Genomic DNA, 15985 nt, shown 5'->3' on the forward strand with positions numbered 1-15985 from the left:
GCTAGAAAAATAAAATAAAATGCGAAACTGAACACAATCAGGTACCCAAACTGCCTGTATTTGTAATGTGAAGTCCAAAGGGGAATAATCTGTGTTGAAAGGTAGTACCCAGGAAGAGTTTATGAAAGAAGTATCATTTGAGATGGGCCCCAGAGTACGACAGAATTTGAGAAGACAGAGAAAAAGGTGGAAGATGTGTCTGGAGAAAGAATGGCATGAATAAACACTTGAAGACATGAGAGATTCTGAAATTTTCAGGGAATAGCTTGGGCAGAGGGTTGACTAAAGAGGCTAAAGAGGCAAGATGTGCTAAAGAGGCAAGATTCCAAAAGATCTCAAATGGTAAAAATCAAAAGTTTGCAATGGACATCGTCAGAAATATTGGGCTGGAGAGGGAGATCAGGAAGGGATCAGTACATGTTGTCGAGAAATAAGTGACATGATGTGCAATTATGTATGTGCTCACCACTCTATACTCAACGCCCAGAGCCCCAGGATACAGAGGGTGTTATTTTGGCAACTCAAATTGACAGGAAGCATTGCTGTCAGGGACCTGATTTTTCAAAACACTAAACAATTCTTTATAAAGTTCCCAACAAAACAAAGTATAGTCTTCTCTCAATTTACATGATAGTTGCATTTCCGGAAAATTCAATGCATTGCCTAAATCTTTGGTGTTTCTGGATAAAACAGGATTAGGATCCAGCCCAGATAATTTCACCTACCTGAATGTGCAGCAAAAGACTGAAAAATCATGTAGGATGTGGGATCATTGTTCAGTGCATAGGATTCTCGCAAGAACTGTAGGATGTTTAACATTGCTGGTCCTATGAACACCGTGAAACATCCTCACAAATTTTTTAATTGGTCACCTTCCCCCTAGTAACTATTGCTTTATTTCTATATTAGTGACCATATAAGTTACATACCCTAATTTGCCTTTTTTGGTTAAAATTTTAATTGTTGCTTTATTTGTTTTTACTTGCTAAATAGAATATTTAAAATGTATTTTCTCTGGAATGTTAGATTCTGTGGGTTTAAGAGGTAGTAAATTATTTCTTTATTGGTTACTATATAAGTTACATATCCTAATTTCTCTTTTTCTGTTAAAATTTTAGTTGTTGTCTTGTTTTTTTTTTTTTGCTAAATAGAATATTCAAAGTGTATTTTCTCTAGAAAGATAGATTCAGTGGGTTAAGAGGTAGTAATTTTTTTTTTTTTCAATTTAGCCAACAATTGCTAAGCCTCTACCGACTGCCAGCCTCCATGCAGACGAGCTATGGCCATTGAGCTCACAGAGCTAGCTGATAACCCATCAGGAAAGGAATGTGATAAGGTGTGTAGGGAGAATTTGAGAGATGACAAAGCATTGTAGAGGGTTGAGGGAAGATCAGGGAAAATGACAGAGATCATCACATTTGAGTTAGTGCTTAAAGAATAATTTTAACAGGATTTAAGAGTGTACTTCTTTATAACAGAAAGTTGAATTTGAAATGACTCTCAAATCCTATTCATTATATAGGCTTTGCAGTGAATTACCAAATGGTATATTTTGAGATGAAAAAGCTTCTTTGTTATCTCCCACCCCAAAATAGTTTTTCCTTTTTTTTTCCTTTTTGCAGTTCTCCATCATTTGTTTTTTCATATTTAGATCTGGTCTTCCTAAAGAGTTTATGAGGATAGAAACTGTGCCATATACTTTACTGGATCTCCTGTAGTGCTAGGCATATTGGACCTTAGATATTTTCAAAATAATGTACGTAGGAATGAATAAGCTATTCTTAGGCGCAAATTGTTTGTTTATTCTTTTTGTATTAGCATTTCCTAGGAAAGTGAAGTCAGGATGTTAGTAATGAGGACACCAAGAGGATGTCCCCGCTAGTCTCTCGGCATGCTGGCCAGACCCTGGTTGTGCTCTGTCTGAGTCCACAGAATCACATTGCTTTTCTCCTAGTCCCTATCTGTAGGTAAGAGAAAATGTGGAAAGTCGATGTTTGCTCTGGAAGTTATAGAAATTTCCACTCAGAAGGTCCTTCTTTCTGAAGAAATGTTTGTTTTTTTTTAATTCAGGTCCAATTTGGACAAGATACTCTTGCTTTTTCGAGTCAGTTGAAGAGCAAGATAACAGGTGAAAAGTATTTCAAGAGTTTAGATCAAACTTGATAATATTTGTAAAAACATGAACTGTAAAGTATTACAGAAATTGTTATTCTTTTGTTGTTATTAAGATTGAAGGAGGAGCAGAATCATCCCATAATTACTCCTGGGGGTCTGAGTCTTGTGTTTGATTAGCTTTAACTCACATTTTGTTATTGTAGTTATCAGATGGATTTGGATATTTGTAAGATATAAAGGTGTCTATTCTTTAAGAAGTCAAGTTGAATCATATAAGATAAAGAGATCTTGAAGGGAGCTTCACTAGCTGTGAAGTTGTCCAATCTCTATAAGTGACACATTTCTCATCAGAAAAATGATCTGTATTTCCCAGGGTGTTGAAGAGTTCCTTTAGTGGGTTTGAAGGGTACAGCATGGTGCCTGACCTGTAGTAGGTGGTCCATAAATGTTAGCTATAAAATATTACTATTATTTAAAAGGTTATTTAAAACCCTGAATTCAGCAGACATTTATTGAACACCTACTGTGTGTCAGGCACTGTTTTAAGAGCTAGAAAAAAGCCATAAAGCAAACAAAGATTCCTGTGCTTGAGGAACTCAGGTTTTAACTGGGGAGATGGATAAGCAATACCCAAAGTAAATAAGTAAATTATGTGGCAGATTACAAGATTATTAGGGCCATGGACCAAAGGAAAGGCAAAGCAGGGTAAGGGGGATCAGGCATGTCCAAGAAGAAGAGGTGAGATTTAAGCAAGGACTTGAGGGAGGTGACAGCATTAATTGTGTCTCATCTCCTCAGTCAAGAGTTGATGTTTCAAATGGCAAGATAAATGACTGTAAAAATGCCTGATGTTCTTAACTATTAGACTTAAACCATACGAAAAACTGTACGCTTTTTCTTTTCTCGTTCTCCACGAAGTAAGAAAATACTGTCCCTTTCTTTTTCCCCTCAATGACAATAAAATAAGTATCCCTGATGATATTATCAAATCCTTTTTAGAAGCTGTTTCCTTTACTTCCTAATGGATTTAGCTCTAATCCAAACCAGAAGCACATTTTGAGTCTTTTCTGATATGACATTATTACAGTGAGTGGTTTCTATTTTTCTTCTAAGTGTTGCTTGAACACAGGAAAGGAATGTGAGAAGACCTCTTGCCACAGCTGAAGTATATATTAGAGTACATTATTTAGTAAACGGTAGACAGTTCTTTCCTTGAAACTCATTTGAACATTTATTGTAATGTGAACTAAGTTTTTTCAATTCCTAATTAGAGATGGTAGTTTTTCTGTATTTTAAAATTGGATATCACATCCATGTACATATATACAAACACACATAAATTTCTCAGATATTAAAATGGGATGTCACTAATATGCATATATGTATATGCATCTATATATACATATGTGGATATGTGTAGATATACACATATGCATAGTTTAGTTGATTAGGTTAATTATCTCTTAATTAATTTCTTAATTATTTCAAAGAATTGGGGAAACCAGCAGTTTTTATAGTTAAATATTCCTTGAAATGAAATTAATTGTGGCATTGGTACAAGTCAAAATAATTCAGTGTTTTGGTAGTGGTAGTATCTGTGATAGTCTTAGGCTTAGATATTGCAGTGACAAAGTATCCAGTGGTAGAGTTGATGAAATTGTATTTTTATAGACGTATTTGAGGCTATTATGCTTTTATCATCAAAATATAATATTCATATAGTTCATTACATGGCAAATGCACATGTATGATTAGTGAGCCTGGATTAGTAGCCTTGCTACTCTTGTACTTATTCAGCCACCTTAAAACATAATGTCAACTTTTATTTTAGATCAGGGGGCATATATGCACGTTTGTTACATGGGTAGATTGCATGATGCTGAGGTTTGGAGTATGAATTATCCTGTCACCCCGGTAGTGAACATAGTACCCATAGTATCCAGTAGGTAGTTTTTCAGCCCTTCTCCCTTCCTTTACTTCCCCATCTAGTAGCCCCCAGTGGCTATTGTCATCTTTATGTTCATGAGTACCCAATGTTTAGCTCCCACTTATAAGTGGGAACGTGCAGTATTTGGTTTGCTGTTCCTGTGTTAATTCACTTAGGATAATGGCCTCCAGCTCTGTCCATGTTGCTGCAAAGGACACGATTTTGTTCTTTTTATGGCTGCATAGTATTCCATGGTGTGTAGCTATCATGTTTTCTTTATCCAATTTACTGTTGATGGGCACCCAGGTTGATTCCATGTCTTTGTTACTGTGAACAGTGCTGCGATGAACATATGAGTGCATGTGTCTTTTTGGTAGAGCAATTTATTTTCCTTTGGGTATATGCCCAGTAATGGGATTGCTGGGCCGAATGGTAGTTCTGTTTTAAGTTCTTTGAGAAATATCCAAACTGCTTTCCACAGTGGCTGAACTAATTTACATTCCCACCAACAGTGTATAAGCCTTCCCTTTCCTCTGCAGGCTTGCCAGCATCTTATTCAGCCACTTCTAGAGTTCATTATTACTTTGTCTGAATTGTTTGTACCAAAGTTACTTAAAAAGCCAGTATTATTTCATTGAACTCATTGTGCTGTTGTACCTTTTTTTCTTTGTCTTTTTAAGATGAGTTGGAATATAGTATGTAAAAATGACACATAAGTTAGATTTGGCATCTGAAGGAGTAAACCAAATATTTACTGGCAATAGAGTGTGCCATAGCATTTGAGAGCATTGGAATGAGCCTGAATACCTGGGTTCAAATCTCACCTTGCCACTTACTACCTGGACAACCTTGGGGAAGTTAATTAGCCTTCTAGGCTTTACTTTCCTCATCTGCGAAATTATAAAAATAGTAGTACCTACCTTACTGCATTGTTTTAAGAATTAAGTGAGTTGCTATTTGTAAAGCACTTAGTACAGTGTTTATTAAATAGATATAAATAAATACCCCAGCAAGTCTAAAAAAAGAGTTGTCTCTCTTTTTTTTTTTTTTTTGAGATGGAGTATCGTTCTGTCGCCAGGCTGGAGTGCAGTGGTGCGATCTGGGCTCACTGCAGCCTCCGCCTCCTGGGTTCAAGTGATTCTTGTGCCTCAGCCTCCCAAGTAACTGGGACTACAGGCGCGTGCCACCATGCCCAGCTAATTTTTGTATTTTTAGTAGAGACGGAGTTTTACCATGTTGTCCAGGATGGTCTCGATCTCTTGACCTTGTGATCCGCCCCCCTCGGCCTCGCAAAGTCCTGGGATTACAGGCGTGAGCCACTGCGCCTGGCCAAAAAGAGTTATCTTTTAAAGATACGTACTTACATCTTTATTGATGAAATGATGGGATGTCTTAGATTTGTTTGAAAGTAATCTGGTCAGAGAGTGGGACATGAAGTGGTGAGACAGTAGGTGGATCAAGATGGCTCATGGGCTGATAACCATTGAAGTGGAATATAGGATTTATTATACTACTAGGCCTACTTTATGTAAGCTTGAAATTTTCCAAATAAAAAGTCAAAACAAAAAAAGGACAGTTCACTTCTTCCAATGTTCTTTCCTTTTTTTTCTTTTCTTTTTCTCCCCTAAATCTGGCATATCATTCCTGTCTTTTGGGGTATAGTTCAAATGCTACCTGTTGTGAAGCCTCCTTGATAACCCCAGCCACATCTCATCTCTTCTCTTCTGACTCATGCAGCCCCCTGGACTCTTCTTGAGCACCTATACATGTTGTGGCTTTGTATTTATTCCTGAGTGTCTTTTCCTTCTTCCAGGCTAACCTCCAAGTGGATTAGGATCATGTTAGTGACTTCCAGGGCAGATACCTTTCTCACAGTAGGTGCCCATCAAACCTTTGTTGAAAAAATGACATTTATTGACTATAATCTAGAAAGAGCAAAAGCAATTATTTTGTGTGTCACAATTACTACTAAAGTACTGTGTTTGGGGATGAAAGGTTGTTATTCGAATTTTTTAGTGGTAGTTTGAAATAGGAATACCTGTGGCTTTATATTAAAATGTTTTTGCTATTTGGGGGCATTTCTTTTTATTCTTTTCAAAGACTTCATTTAGGAAGTTAATGTTGTTCCAGGCGATTAGCAAAGTTACAAATATGTCCTTCTAATTCTGGCATGTTGAGAATCTGAACATGTGAAATACTTGTGTTCTATTTTATGGTTATGGAAAGTAAGATTTTTTTCATCTGTGGGCCCACATTATTTTTTCTATTTACTGACTTAAATGATGCAGAGAAGAGTCTAGTATGAAACTGGAAAAAGTTAACAATGAAAACCTAAATCACAGAACTTTGTTTTGCTTTAGGATACGTCCTGAAACCATGGGAATAAATTATAATTTTAGCCATCCTCCCCTCCCTCATAACATAGATAAGCTTTTCTTTAGGCATGTTCTTAAAACACCATATGTAAAACACCTGTTGGTAAGTTAAAGAATATTTTAAACCCAAGGATTTTATATCTATTAAACATATTCTTAAATGAAATGATTTTATAAAGCAAAGACTATTTTAGAGCAAAGAATTCTCCTTAACCTCTCATTTAAATGTTTTGCAAGTTTGCTTGTTTATCAGTTGAACTTATCTAAGGTGAATACTTCATTCATTTTAGTCTCTTCTCCACAACAAATCATTTTTGTTGAACTTCGATGGAAGTCAAGTAGTGAAATTGGGCTACCTTGAGTTTCACTTCGGCCTCCTTTCTATTTCCATCCTCAATGGAGGTGCTAATTATAAGTGAAATAGTTTAAAACTGATACTAAGAGCAAAAAGTGCCAAAGAACATAGGTAATCTATAAACTAAATAATCAAATTCAAGAATGGGGTTATATTGCCTGAAGGCATTATTGCCATGACTTTCTCACTTGCAATGGAGAGTTAAAAAAAAACTCTGCTTTTGATTTTTCTCCACTTGCTGCTCTGTTACCACCCCAGTGGCATGTTCTCATTAACCCAATTCCTTGACCTTTGGCTATTACACTGAAGAATTCAAATTCACAAGATGTGAATTGCCTCATTCATATCTACAAGGTTTGAATCGTGGTTAAGACTTAGACCGGGTGTCTGATTATGAACAGGCTGTAAGTGAGAGTGGGTGTTCCTTTGTGAAGATCTGTACTTGCTCAGCTGTATTGCTTCGTTGACTCATTTAGAGTTTCTATAGTACTTAGGACAATGATTCTCAGCACAGTCATTGTGGCCTATCATGCTATCTTTGGCTGACAAAAGTGATTCTGAGATAATTTAAAAGTAAAGTAAAATTTTTATTTAAAAATATAACACATGAAATAATTTAAGAAAAATGAAAGAGTAGGTATTAAAGATAAGACTTCCAACTCCCCAAAAGTAAAATTACTAACAGCTTGCAGAAGCTTTAATGAAATTATTTTTAACACAGATTGAAAAAAACCATGTGAGATCATTTTTCTCTATAGATCATAATTCCTTGGGGATAGGGACCTTGTTTCCTATTCTGTTGTATCTCTCCATGGCAGTTAATAAGGTACTTTGTACAAATTGAAGAGACAGAAAATATTAAAATTCCTTTCTTTTTTTTTTTTTAGAAATTTGGAAAACCTCAAATCTGTTGAGAAATTGGATTTTTGGAAATTTATTCATAAAAAATTATTGTAGCTGAAACTTACCTCTCTCAGATACCAAGCATGTTTCTGTAGAAGGATCTGCTGGACTACCTCTGTTTCCCTCATGAATTGGAGAGATTTGTGTTAAGTGACAGAGAGAAAGCAAGCCCTAATCTATTCCCTTCTTTTTCTGCATGGGCGTGAACTCAGATTGTTTGATTTGCTACCCAGTGGAGAGCCAGGTGGCCATAACTTTATTTTCTTTTATATCATATTTTTATGTGAAAAGACATACCATTAGTACCCTTAAGGAATAATCATATCGTTTTAATCCCTAGTGGTACTTGGGTACTGTTGGGACCTTCATCAAGCAGATTCCAACTACTTCAATGAATGTATTTCTGACTTTTCAGGCTCAAGCTTTCTTTTTTTTTTAATATATGAAACAAAAGTATATGAACAAATGGAAATAACCAGTGGGAATGAATGATCCATCTGATTAGATCCTTTGTCATTGTGGGAAATTATTACATTATTCCAACCTGTAGAAATTTCCTAAAATCCCCACATGGAGTCCCCTATGTTTTCTGTCAGAGTGTATGTAGTTATGCAAGTGCACTTAATTTTATGGAACATCCTCATGATTCAATCTGCTGCTCCCAAATCAAAACTAATATGCTTTTGGCTTATGTACTAGTTTGAATCATTTATATTATTCTGCTCACACTCAGTAAAACTAACATATCTTCAGGGTCTGCCATATGAAAGGTGCTGTTTTAGTTGTTCAAAGAAGCAAGGGCTGGAAGAAGTTAGACTGTTCTTCCTTTGCTATTGCTTTCAAATATCAAATCATCACAAGTTTGAGTGAAAAATAATTTAATGTATTGAGTAGCTATGTTTTAAAAGTCTAGGGTTCTTTTTGTTGTTGCTCAGAGAGAAGAATTAAAGATTATATGATGTACTTTGATTAGTGCTGTCTACTGAAAATCCACACCACTTTACATTATTTTGAATGTTTGAAAGCATGAAAGTGTTCACAGTTGAATGTTTCCAAGTAGTTGTCTTAATATTTTATCACTTAGAAGTCAGTTACAGATAATGGAAATAATTCTAACTATTTAAGAAAAAAATAGAATAATAAAAACAAAAGCATTTACCATAAGGAATTAGGTGCTTACTAATCTAATCATTGGACTCTAGACTGGGCCTCTAAGAATGGCTTCCAGAAAGGCACAGTGGACTGCGTGCCAGGGGCATTGCTTCCATTATTACTCCTAGGAAGCTAGGAACTAAAAAAGCCTGCATGTCAACTGCTGGTTTCAAATCACAGCACCCTAGCCACAACCAGGAGTCACGAAGCAACTGTTGTCTTCTGGGATATTCTACTTTAGCTGTGATTCAGGGATCAGACTGCTACCAGCATTGTTAGCTTCAGAGCTGTCTGCTGCCTGTTAGATTTGCACAAGCAAGACAAAACCTTGGGTGCTTCTTCTCTTCCGCTTAACTCTGAATTCAAGTTTTATGGAAGTGGCGCTCATGGTGAAACCCAAATTGGAATTCAAGTCTTATGGAAGTGCATCTTAATGGTGAAACCTAAATTGTGTTGAGAATGCTAGTTACAAGGGAGTCTGGGAAATGAGGTTTTTAGTTTTCTGGCATCTGCAGTGTAAGAAGGCAAATATGGAGATTGGAACAGAAGTTGAGCTGGCCAATGTGCTGTATCAGCCACAGATGCTTTTGTGTTATTTCCTGTGATGGCTAGAAAACAAACTTAGAATCTGGCTGATTGAGTAAGGAAACAATTTTCAGATGTAAACCTTGTATATTACAGTCTCCAAGTAGATTTTTAAAATATATTTTTTTGTTTGCATTATCTGAGAATCCAGAAGAGCATCCAGTAATCAGTAATTACATAGTCAGATGTGCCAGGTGGAATGATTCAGGTATCTCTATGTATTTGTAGCTTGAATCCTGTATGTCTTCTGTTTAGAACTTAGCCATCTTTTGAAATTAAGCTTTTTTCCACTGGTGATTATGCTAGTGCATTTAATTGGGATTATTTTTTGGCACAGCGATCATTAATTAGAGCAAATGGAGCATAAGCAACGTTAGTTGAATAAATAATGAATTTAAAGAGTCTATGAAGGTTAAATAGCATACTCTGGAATGTTCTATGAAGTAATTTTTCCTTTCCATGCTACATACTGTCAAGATAACTAGTCTAACCCAAGGTTAGATAGAAAACAATATGTAGAGTGTTTCCTGCAATATTTTCATGAAAAATATATGTGTAAAAATGTCTAGGATGGTCTAAGAGAAAATATTTATATTGATTACTGTGAATTAGAATAGATTTTTTGGTTTGTTTATATTAAAAACATTTAATCCCATGAGCACATCATCTTATCAGAAAATGATTCCAAAAAGTTCTTCTGTGAGTTTTATCAACCAGGAGTTCTATTCAAAATACATAGGCAGAATAAATAGTAAAGTAAAAAAAAAACCTATGTGTCTTTTATTTCTCTGCTAACTTTGAATGGGTACATGTGATAGACTTTAATTATTTTGTGGCTAATTTATTGGAAATTGTTTTTTGGTTGGGAATACAATGTCTTTTGTTGATATCTCCCCAAGTCTCAGGTCATAATCATAAATTATTTATTTTATTGAAGGCAGTTATGATACCATCTTGTCACTTTTCCTAATAATTGTATAATAATAAGTTGTATTCACATTATATTGATCTATTTACTTTTTCAGTTAATTCCGTATGAAACATTTGTTTACTAAGATATCAAATCAACCACAAATTACCATTCATAGATAAAATGGAATTAATTCTTAATGATGTGGCCTTTTTAGGACATAGTTAAAATTCTTTAATTTTGTGATTATGTTATTTAGTATACATTAAGTATAATGTAGAATATACTTATGATATTGGCCCTTCTTTCAGGAAATTAAAATTTAAGGAAATGGGCAATGTATGATGCTATTTAATTATGAAAATTCTCCTGTGACGTTTTGTCTTTTCATGTTAGGCCTAAGCAGAGGGCCTAAAGGGTGTGGTTGTCAGTTACACTTGGGAAAATTTATAGGAGTGGGAAATTCTCAAATGAGATCATAGGGGTCTCCAGGCAGAGGGCCAGGCTGAGCCACAAGCAGCTCCATAGAGCCAGGGTCAGGGAGCTGGAGAGTCAGGATGAAGGTCATGGGTAAAATATAATTCTGGGCATTCTGCTGAAATGGCAGACCTCTCGGTACAGTATAGATATGCAAATGCTAACACCCAGAGTGTCTGACTTTGATGTGCTGCCAAGCACCTTTGGCCTCCAGTGGGTGCTGACTGAATTGGAGAGATTCCAGATTCAGCAAAGATGTCTGTTAGCAGAGGAACAGGATTAATGAAGGGATTTGTCCCTCTCTTACCTCAGTTTACTTAAGGAGAGGGTTTTATTAATTGGCGTGAAAACGTTGCATAACATTTTAGGAACTAAATCCTAGAATTTCTTTTAAAATAGTACATTTACAATAATTATCAAAGATTTTTTCTTTAAAATTATTTTTTCAGATCTAGAGTTATTTTAACTTTATTTTGAAATAATTTCAAACTTGTAGAAGAGTTGCAAGAAGAGTATTAAAACCCTCTTGTGGCCGGGCATGGTGGCTCACACCTGTAATCCCAGCACTTTAGGAGGCCGAGGTGGGCGGATCACCTGAGGTCAGGAGTTCGAGACCAGCCTCAACATGGAGAAACCCCATCTCTACTAAAAATACAAAATTAGCTGGGCGTGGTGGTGCATGCCTGTAATCCCAGCTACTCAGGAGGCTGAGGCAGGAGAATTGCTTGAACCTGGGAGGCGGAGGTTGCGGTGAGCCGAGATCGCGCCATTGCACTCCAGTCTGGGCAACAAGAGCGAAACTCCGTCTCAAAAAAAAAAAAAAAGCCCTTTTGCATAACAACTATGAATGCTTTGCCACATTTGCTTTATCTCGTTTTGTCTCTGTCTCTCTCTATACACACACACACACACACACACACACACACACACGCACCATTTAAGAGTTAATGGTCAATATCACACCCCTTTACTCCTAAACATTTCAGCATGTATTTCTTAAGAACAAGGACATTCTCTTATATAACCACATAGATATACAGCCCATATTCAAAATTTGCCTATTATCCCAATAATATTTTTTAGAGCATATTTCCTCTTGGCCAAATAAGTCATGACTACATATTACCTTTAGTTGTCATGTCTTTTAAATTTTTAATCTGGAATAATCTCGTAACTCCATTTTCTTTCATGACATTGATATTTTTGAAGGGTATATGCCACTTGTTTTATAGACCAATCCTTTATTTTGATTTGTCTGATTCAATATTTTTTATCAATGACTTTATACTTTAATTTGAAAAACATGGAAATATATAAGGAAGAAAACATTCACCCTTGATCCTGCTGTCCAAGGATACTTCTGACATTTAGACATACTTCCATTTTTCCTATGACTCATAAAATCAGTTACAAAATTGAACATACAGAATAATCCCATATTTTATACATATTAATACGTATAAAATATGTATAGTGTATACATATTAATATGTATAAAAATATGGGATTATTCTGTATGTTCAATTTTGTATCTGATTTTATGAGTATTTTTCCATCTCATTAAATGCTCTTTGAAAGCATATTTTCCTGGCTCCCTAATGTTCTTTATTACAGTTACACTATCATTTATGTAAATACTCTCTTATCATTGGATATTTAAATTGTTTCTATTTTTCTTATTACAAAAACACTGTGACTGCATGCAGTGGCTCACCTGTATAATCCCTGATAGTCAGGAGGCTGAGGTGGAAGGATCATTTAATGCTAGAGGTTTGAGATTAGCCTGGACAACAGAGTGAGACTCCATCTCTAAAAAAACAAAAAAGGACCACACACACACACACACACACACACACACACACACACACACACACACACACCCTGTCAGAATGAATACCATCAATCTATAAACTGCATTTGATTCCTCTTTTTCTTTTTTCTTTCTTTTTTTTTTTGAGATGGAGTCTCACTCTGTTGCTAAGGCTGGAGTGTAATAGCGCGATCTCGGCTCACTGCAACTTCCGCCTCCCGGGTTCAAGTGATTCTCCTGCCACAGCCTCCTGAGTAGCTGAGATTACAGGCACACACCACCACACCTGGCTAATTTTTGTATTTTTAGTAGAGACAGGGTTTTACCATGTTGGTCAGGCTGGTCTCGAACTCCTCACCTTGTGATCTGCCCTCCTCGGCCTCCCAAAGTGCTGGGATTACAGGCATGAGCCACCGCACCCAGCCCCTGATTCCTCTTTTTCCTAAAATTACTTAAGCACATGTATATTAAACAAATGACTTTTCATAGTGGACTTACTCATAAACCAGTAATTAAAGTCTTGATGTGTGCAGAAATGCAAAACATTTCCCAGTCTGATTTTTGGGGCCTCTCTCTTATAAGGGTTTGCTTTCCCATAATGTATCGTCTGCTCAGTGTGCTTGCCACACTATCTGTGGTGACAATGTATTGTCATTCTCTTGGTCTGACTGCTGGGAGATCACAGGGAGCTGAGTGCCGCTGAGTTAAACAGATGTTCAGCATGGCTGCATCTTCAAAGTTTTGTCTGGTTCCAGCCCTGACGAAACTTCTAGGGCCCTGAGAGAAAGAGAAAGTTTCTAGTTGAAGTAATATCCTATAGTTTGTTAGTGGAAACAGAAGCACGTGGTTTCTGATTTGGTTCTGGTGTTCTCTTTGGAGATTTGTATCAGTGATGAAAAAAAGGAAAGGTTGGTTAAGTCTGTTGCCTCCTGAAGTGGTTCTTTTTATCAGAATAAAGACTAGGCATCATCTCCTCTATGAACTTTTTCCTGACACTCCTGTTCATCTTCCATGCTGGACCCATTAGGATTAATCACCTTCTCCTTTGAGTTACCCATATATGTTATCTTTAGGTCTGCTACAGCCTTCGCACTGTCTTACAACTAATTGTATATAAGTCTAGCTTCCCTATGAGGCACTGGGTTTTATATGCATTAGATCCATTTGCCCTGCAATAAGCCACCCCAAAACTTAGTGGCTTAGAACAATAGCCATTAATTTAGCTCATGATTCTGTGGAATCAGCAGGTTGGTCTGGGCTCAGTAGGGCTCAGCTGCTTTCTGATGGGACTCACTCATATGGTTGGCTGGGGGCTGGCTGATTGATGACTGGGATACCTCACTTATTCTCTTGTGGTTTCCCATCCTTCAACGGGCTAGTTCAGACTTGTTCACATGATGTCAACAGGGTTCCCAAAAGCATCAACAGAGCATATCCTTTAATGTACAAGAACTTTCAAATTTCTGCTTCTGATACATTTGCTTCTGTCCCACTGTCCAGAACAAGTCACATGGCTAAGCCCAGAGTTATTGTGTGAGAGCACTACAAAAGGGTGTGAATACAGGGATGTGTGAGCAAATGGGGCATTACTGCAATCAGTCCACTACATGTTCCTTGATGTCAGGGTTACATCTCAACCATCTTTTCATCTCTAGATCCTATCATGTTGCTTGGCACAAGGTAGTTGCTTGGGGAATGGTGAATTGATCTATACAGTTATCTAGTCCGTTTAGCATCCCCTCAAACTTGGGTAAACTCCAGGGCACAAGGAGGGCATTAGGCAATGTTCTTAGATGCTGAGCTTTAAGGGAGTTTTTGCAGCTGGCTTTTGATGAGGAAAGTCTATGGAGAGAAAATGGGTATGGCACTTGGTAAAAAAAAATCGGGAGATTGTTTTACGGAAAAATAAAATTTCTTACCTCCTAAGCAAAACATCAAAACATCAAAATTTTATTTTTTACGGAAAAGTAAAATTTTTTACCTCCTAAGCAAAACATCAAAACATACATACTTATGTTGTACTTTTATTTTTCTTTCAAAGAATGTTCCTCATGTTAATTTAATCTGGCTTTATTTTGTGAATAACTAGGGAGAGAGTACATAGCCATGTTTGACCTGGGCCCCATATTCTCAGAGTCAAGGCCTCTGAAAAATTTTTTGAAAGTTTGAATAACCAGGAATAGAATCATCCTTAAACCTATGTGATGCGGGCTGCTTTCTTAGGCCTAAAATTTTAGAGGGCCTTGCTGTTTTTTCTGGCGTTGCCTATCCCCATCTTGCTAGTATTGGGGTGTCAAAGATGTGACAGGGGATATGCCCACCTAGAGCTTGAACCCTTCTACCTTCTAACCCATGTAGCAGGAAACTGGGACTCTAAAATTCTCTGCCTAAATGGGCTCAAGCTGCTTTCAGGACCTGTGTGGGCTCCTTTGCTTTTCTCCTAAAGGCAGACTCTACCAGTGTATACCCTTTCTAGGCCCAAGGGGTGGCCAAGGGTAGCTGTTTGCACAGTGAGGGTTAGGGGGTGGATAGATCTTGGACTTTGGTTTGGGGTGCTTATAACCTTGCTTTGGAGACCCCTGAGGGTACAGGATGAAACTGAGAGTAGGATGAGATGTTGACGGGCCTTAGGCTAGGGACCACTTTGACCGGACTGTCAAGATTGGGGGTGGCCTGATTAGGGATCTCATAAGGCTGTTGACAGGAGTGGAATCTTCCATGGGAGCAATAGTCAGATTTGTCTCAACTTAAATTCTGGGAATTTTGCTAAAATAAGAATGGCTTCTGAGATATAATGAGCTAAACCTGAAATGTTGGTTCTTGTAAATACATGGTAAAGGCGTGAGATTAGAATTTCTCTTTTAGGAAACCTGTCAAATTGTTAAGCTCCTTTTCCTCTTTTATTTGTGATCTAAGTGATTTGTCTATACAGCCTCACAGATAGTAGATCCAGTCAGTACCAAGTACATGTGACTTTAGCGTTTGTCTATAAATCAGATGGCCACTTAATGGGTATATAATAGAAGGGATGGTAATAGAGGTTCATACTGAGGCATTTAAAATTGTTTTAAGAAGATTCAGAGAGGGAAAGTTTGAGGCAAAGGGAACACAAAAAACAAGGGGATACTGGTATCACTGTGGCTGGAACAAATTTTAATGATGCTTTTCTGGTTCCCACTTCCCCAACCCATTTTTTTTTTAAAGAATCTATGGCCAATCACTGCTTGCTTGAAAAATTGCCTTTGTTATTTACATTATGCTTTTAGGAATTTTAGAATGATATGAGAGTCTGTAATAGAAGAGTGAGAATCAAAGCTTATTGTTTCCAGGCTATGGCTTGAATTTGAAATAAGAAAGGCAAAAATACAAGTTTTAA

The 15985-nt window shown here is 36.9% G+C and overlaps 1 protein-coding gene across 24 annotated transcripts in view, besides 2 other annotated features; it reads left to right on the forward strand.

Moving 5' to 3' along the window:
- DNM3 (dynamin 3) overlaps positions 1–15985 on the forward strand; it is a 576969-nt gene that overhangs the window by 29238 nt on the left and 531746 nt on the right. The window lies entirely within an intron of this gene.
- Positions 1059–1579: an enhancer, noted in NCBI's record as "OCT4-NANOG hESC enhancer chr1:171840934-171841454 (GRCh37/hg19 assembly coordinates)". NCBI's record gives its function as "activates a minimal SCP1, AML or CMV promoter by ChIP-STARR-seq in primed H9 embryonic stem cells {active_cell/tissue: H9 hESC(primed)}" and the evidence as "EXISTENCE:reporter gene assay evidence [ECO:0000049][PMID:30033119]".
- Positions 13200–13279: an enhancer, noted in NCBI's record as "active region_2087". NCBI's record gives its function as "activates an Ori minimal core promoter by ATAC-STARR-seq in GM12878 lymphoblastoid cells {active_cell/tissue: GM12878}" and the evidence as "EXISTENCE:reporter gene assay evidence [ECO:0000049][PMID:35858748]".

The sequence above is a fragment of the Homo sapiens genome, chromosome 1, assembly GCF_000001405.40.
Source record: "Homo sapiens chromosome 1, GRCh38.p14 Primary Assembly".
Taxonomy (NCBI): domain Eukaryota; kingdom Metazoa; phylum Chordata; class Mammalia; order Primates; family Hominidae; genus Homo; species Homo sapiens.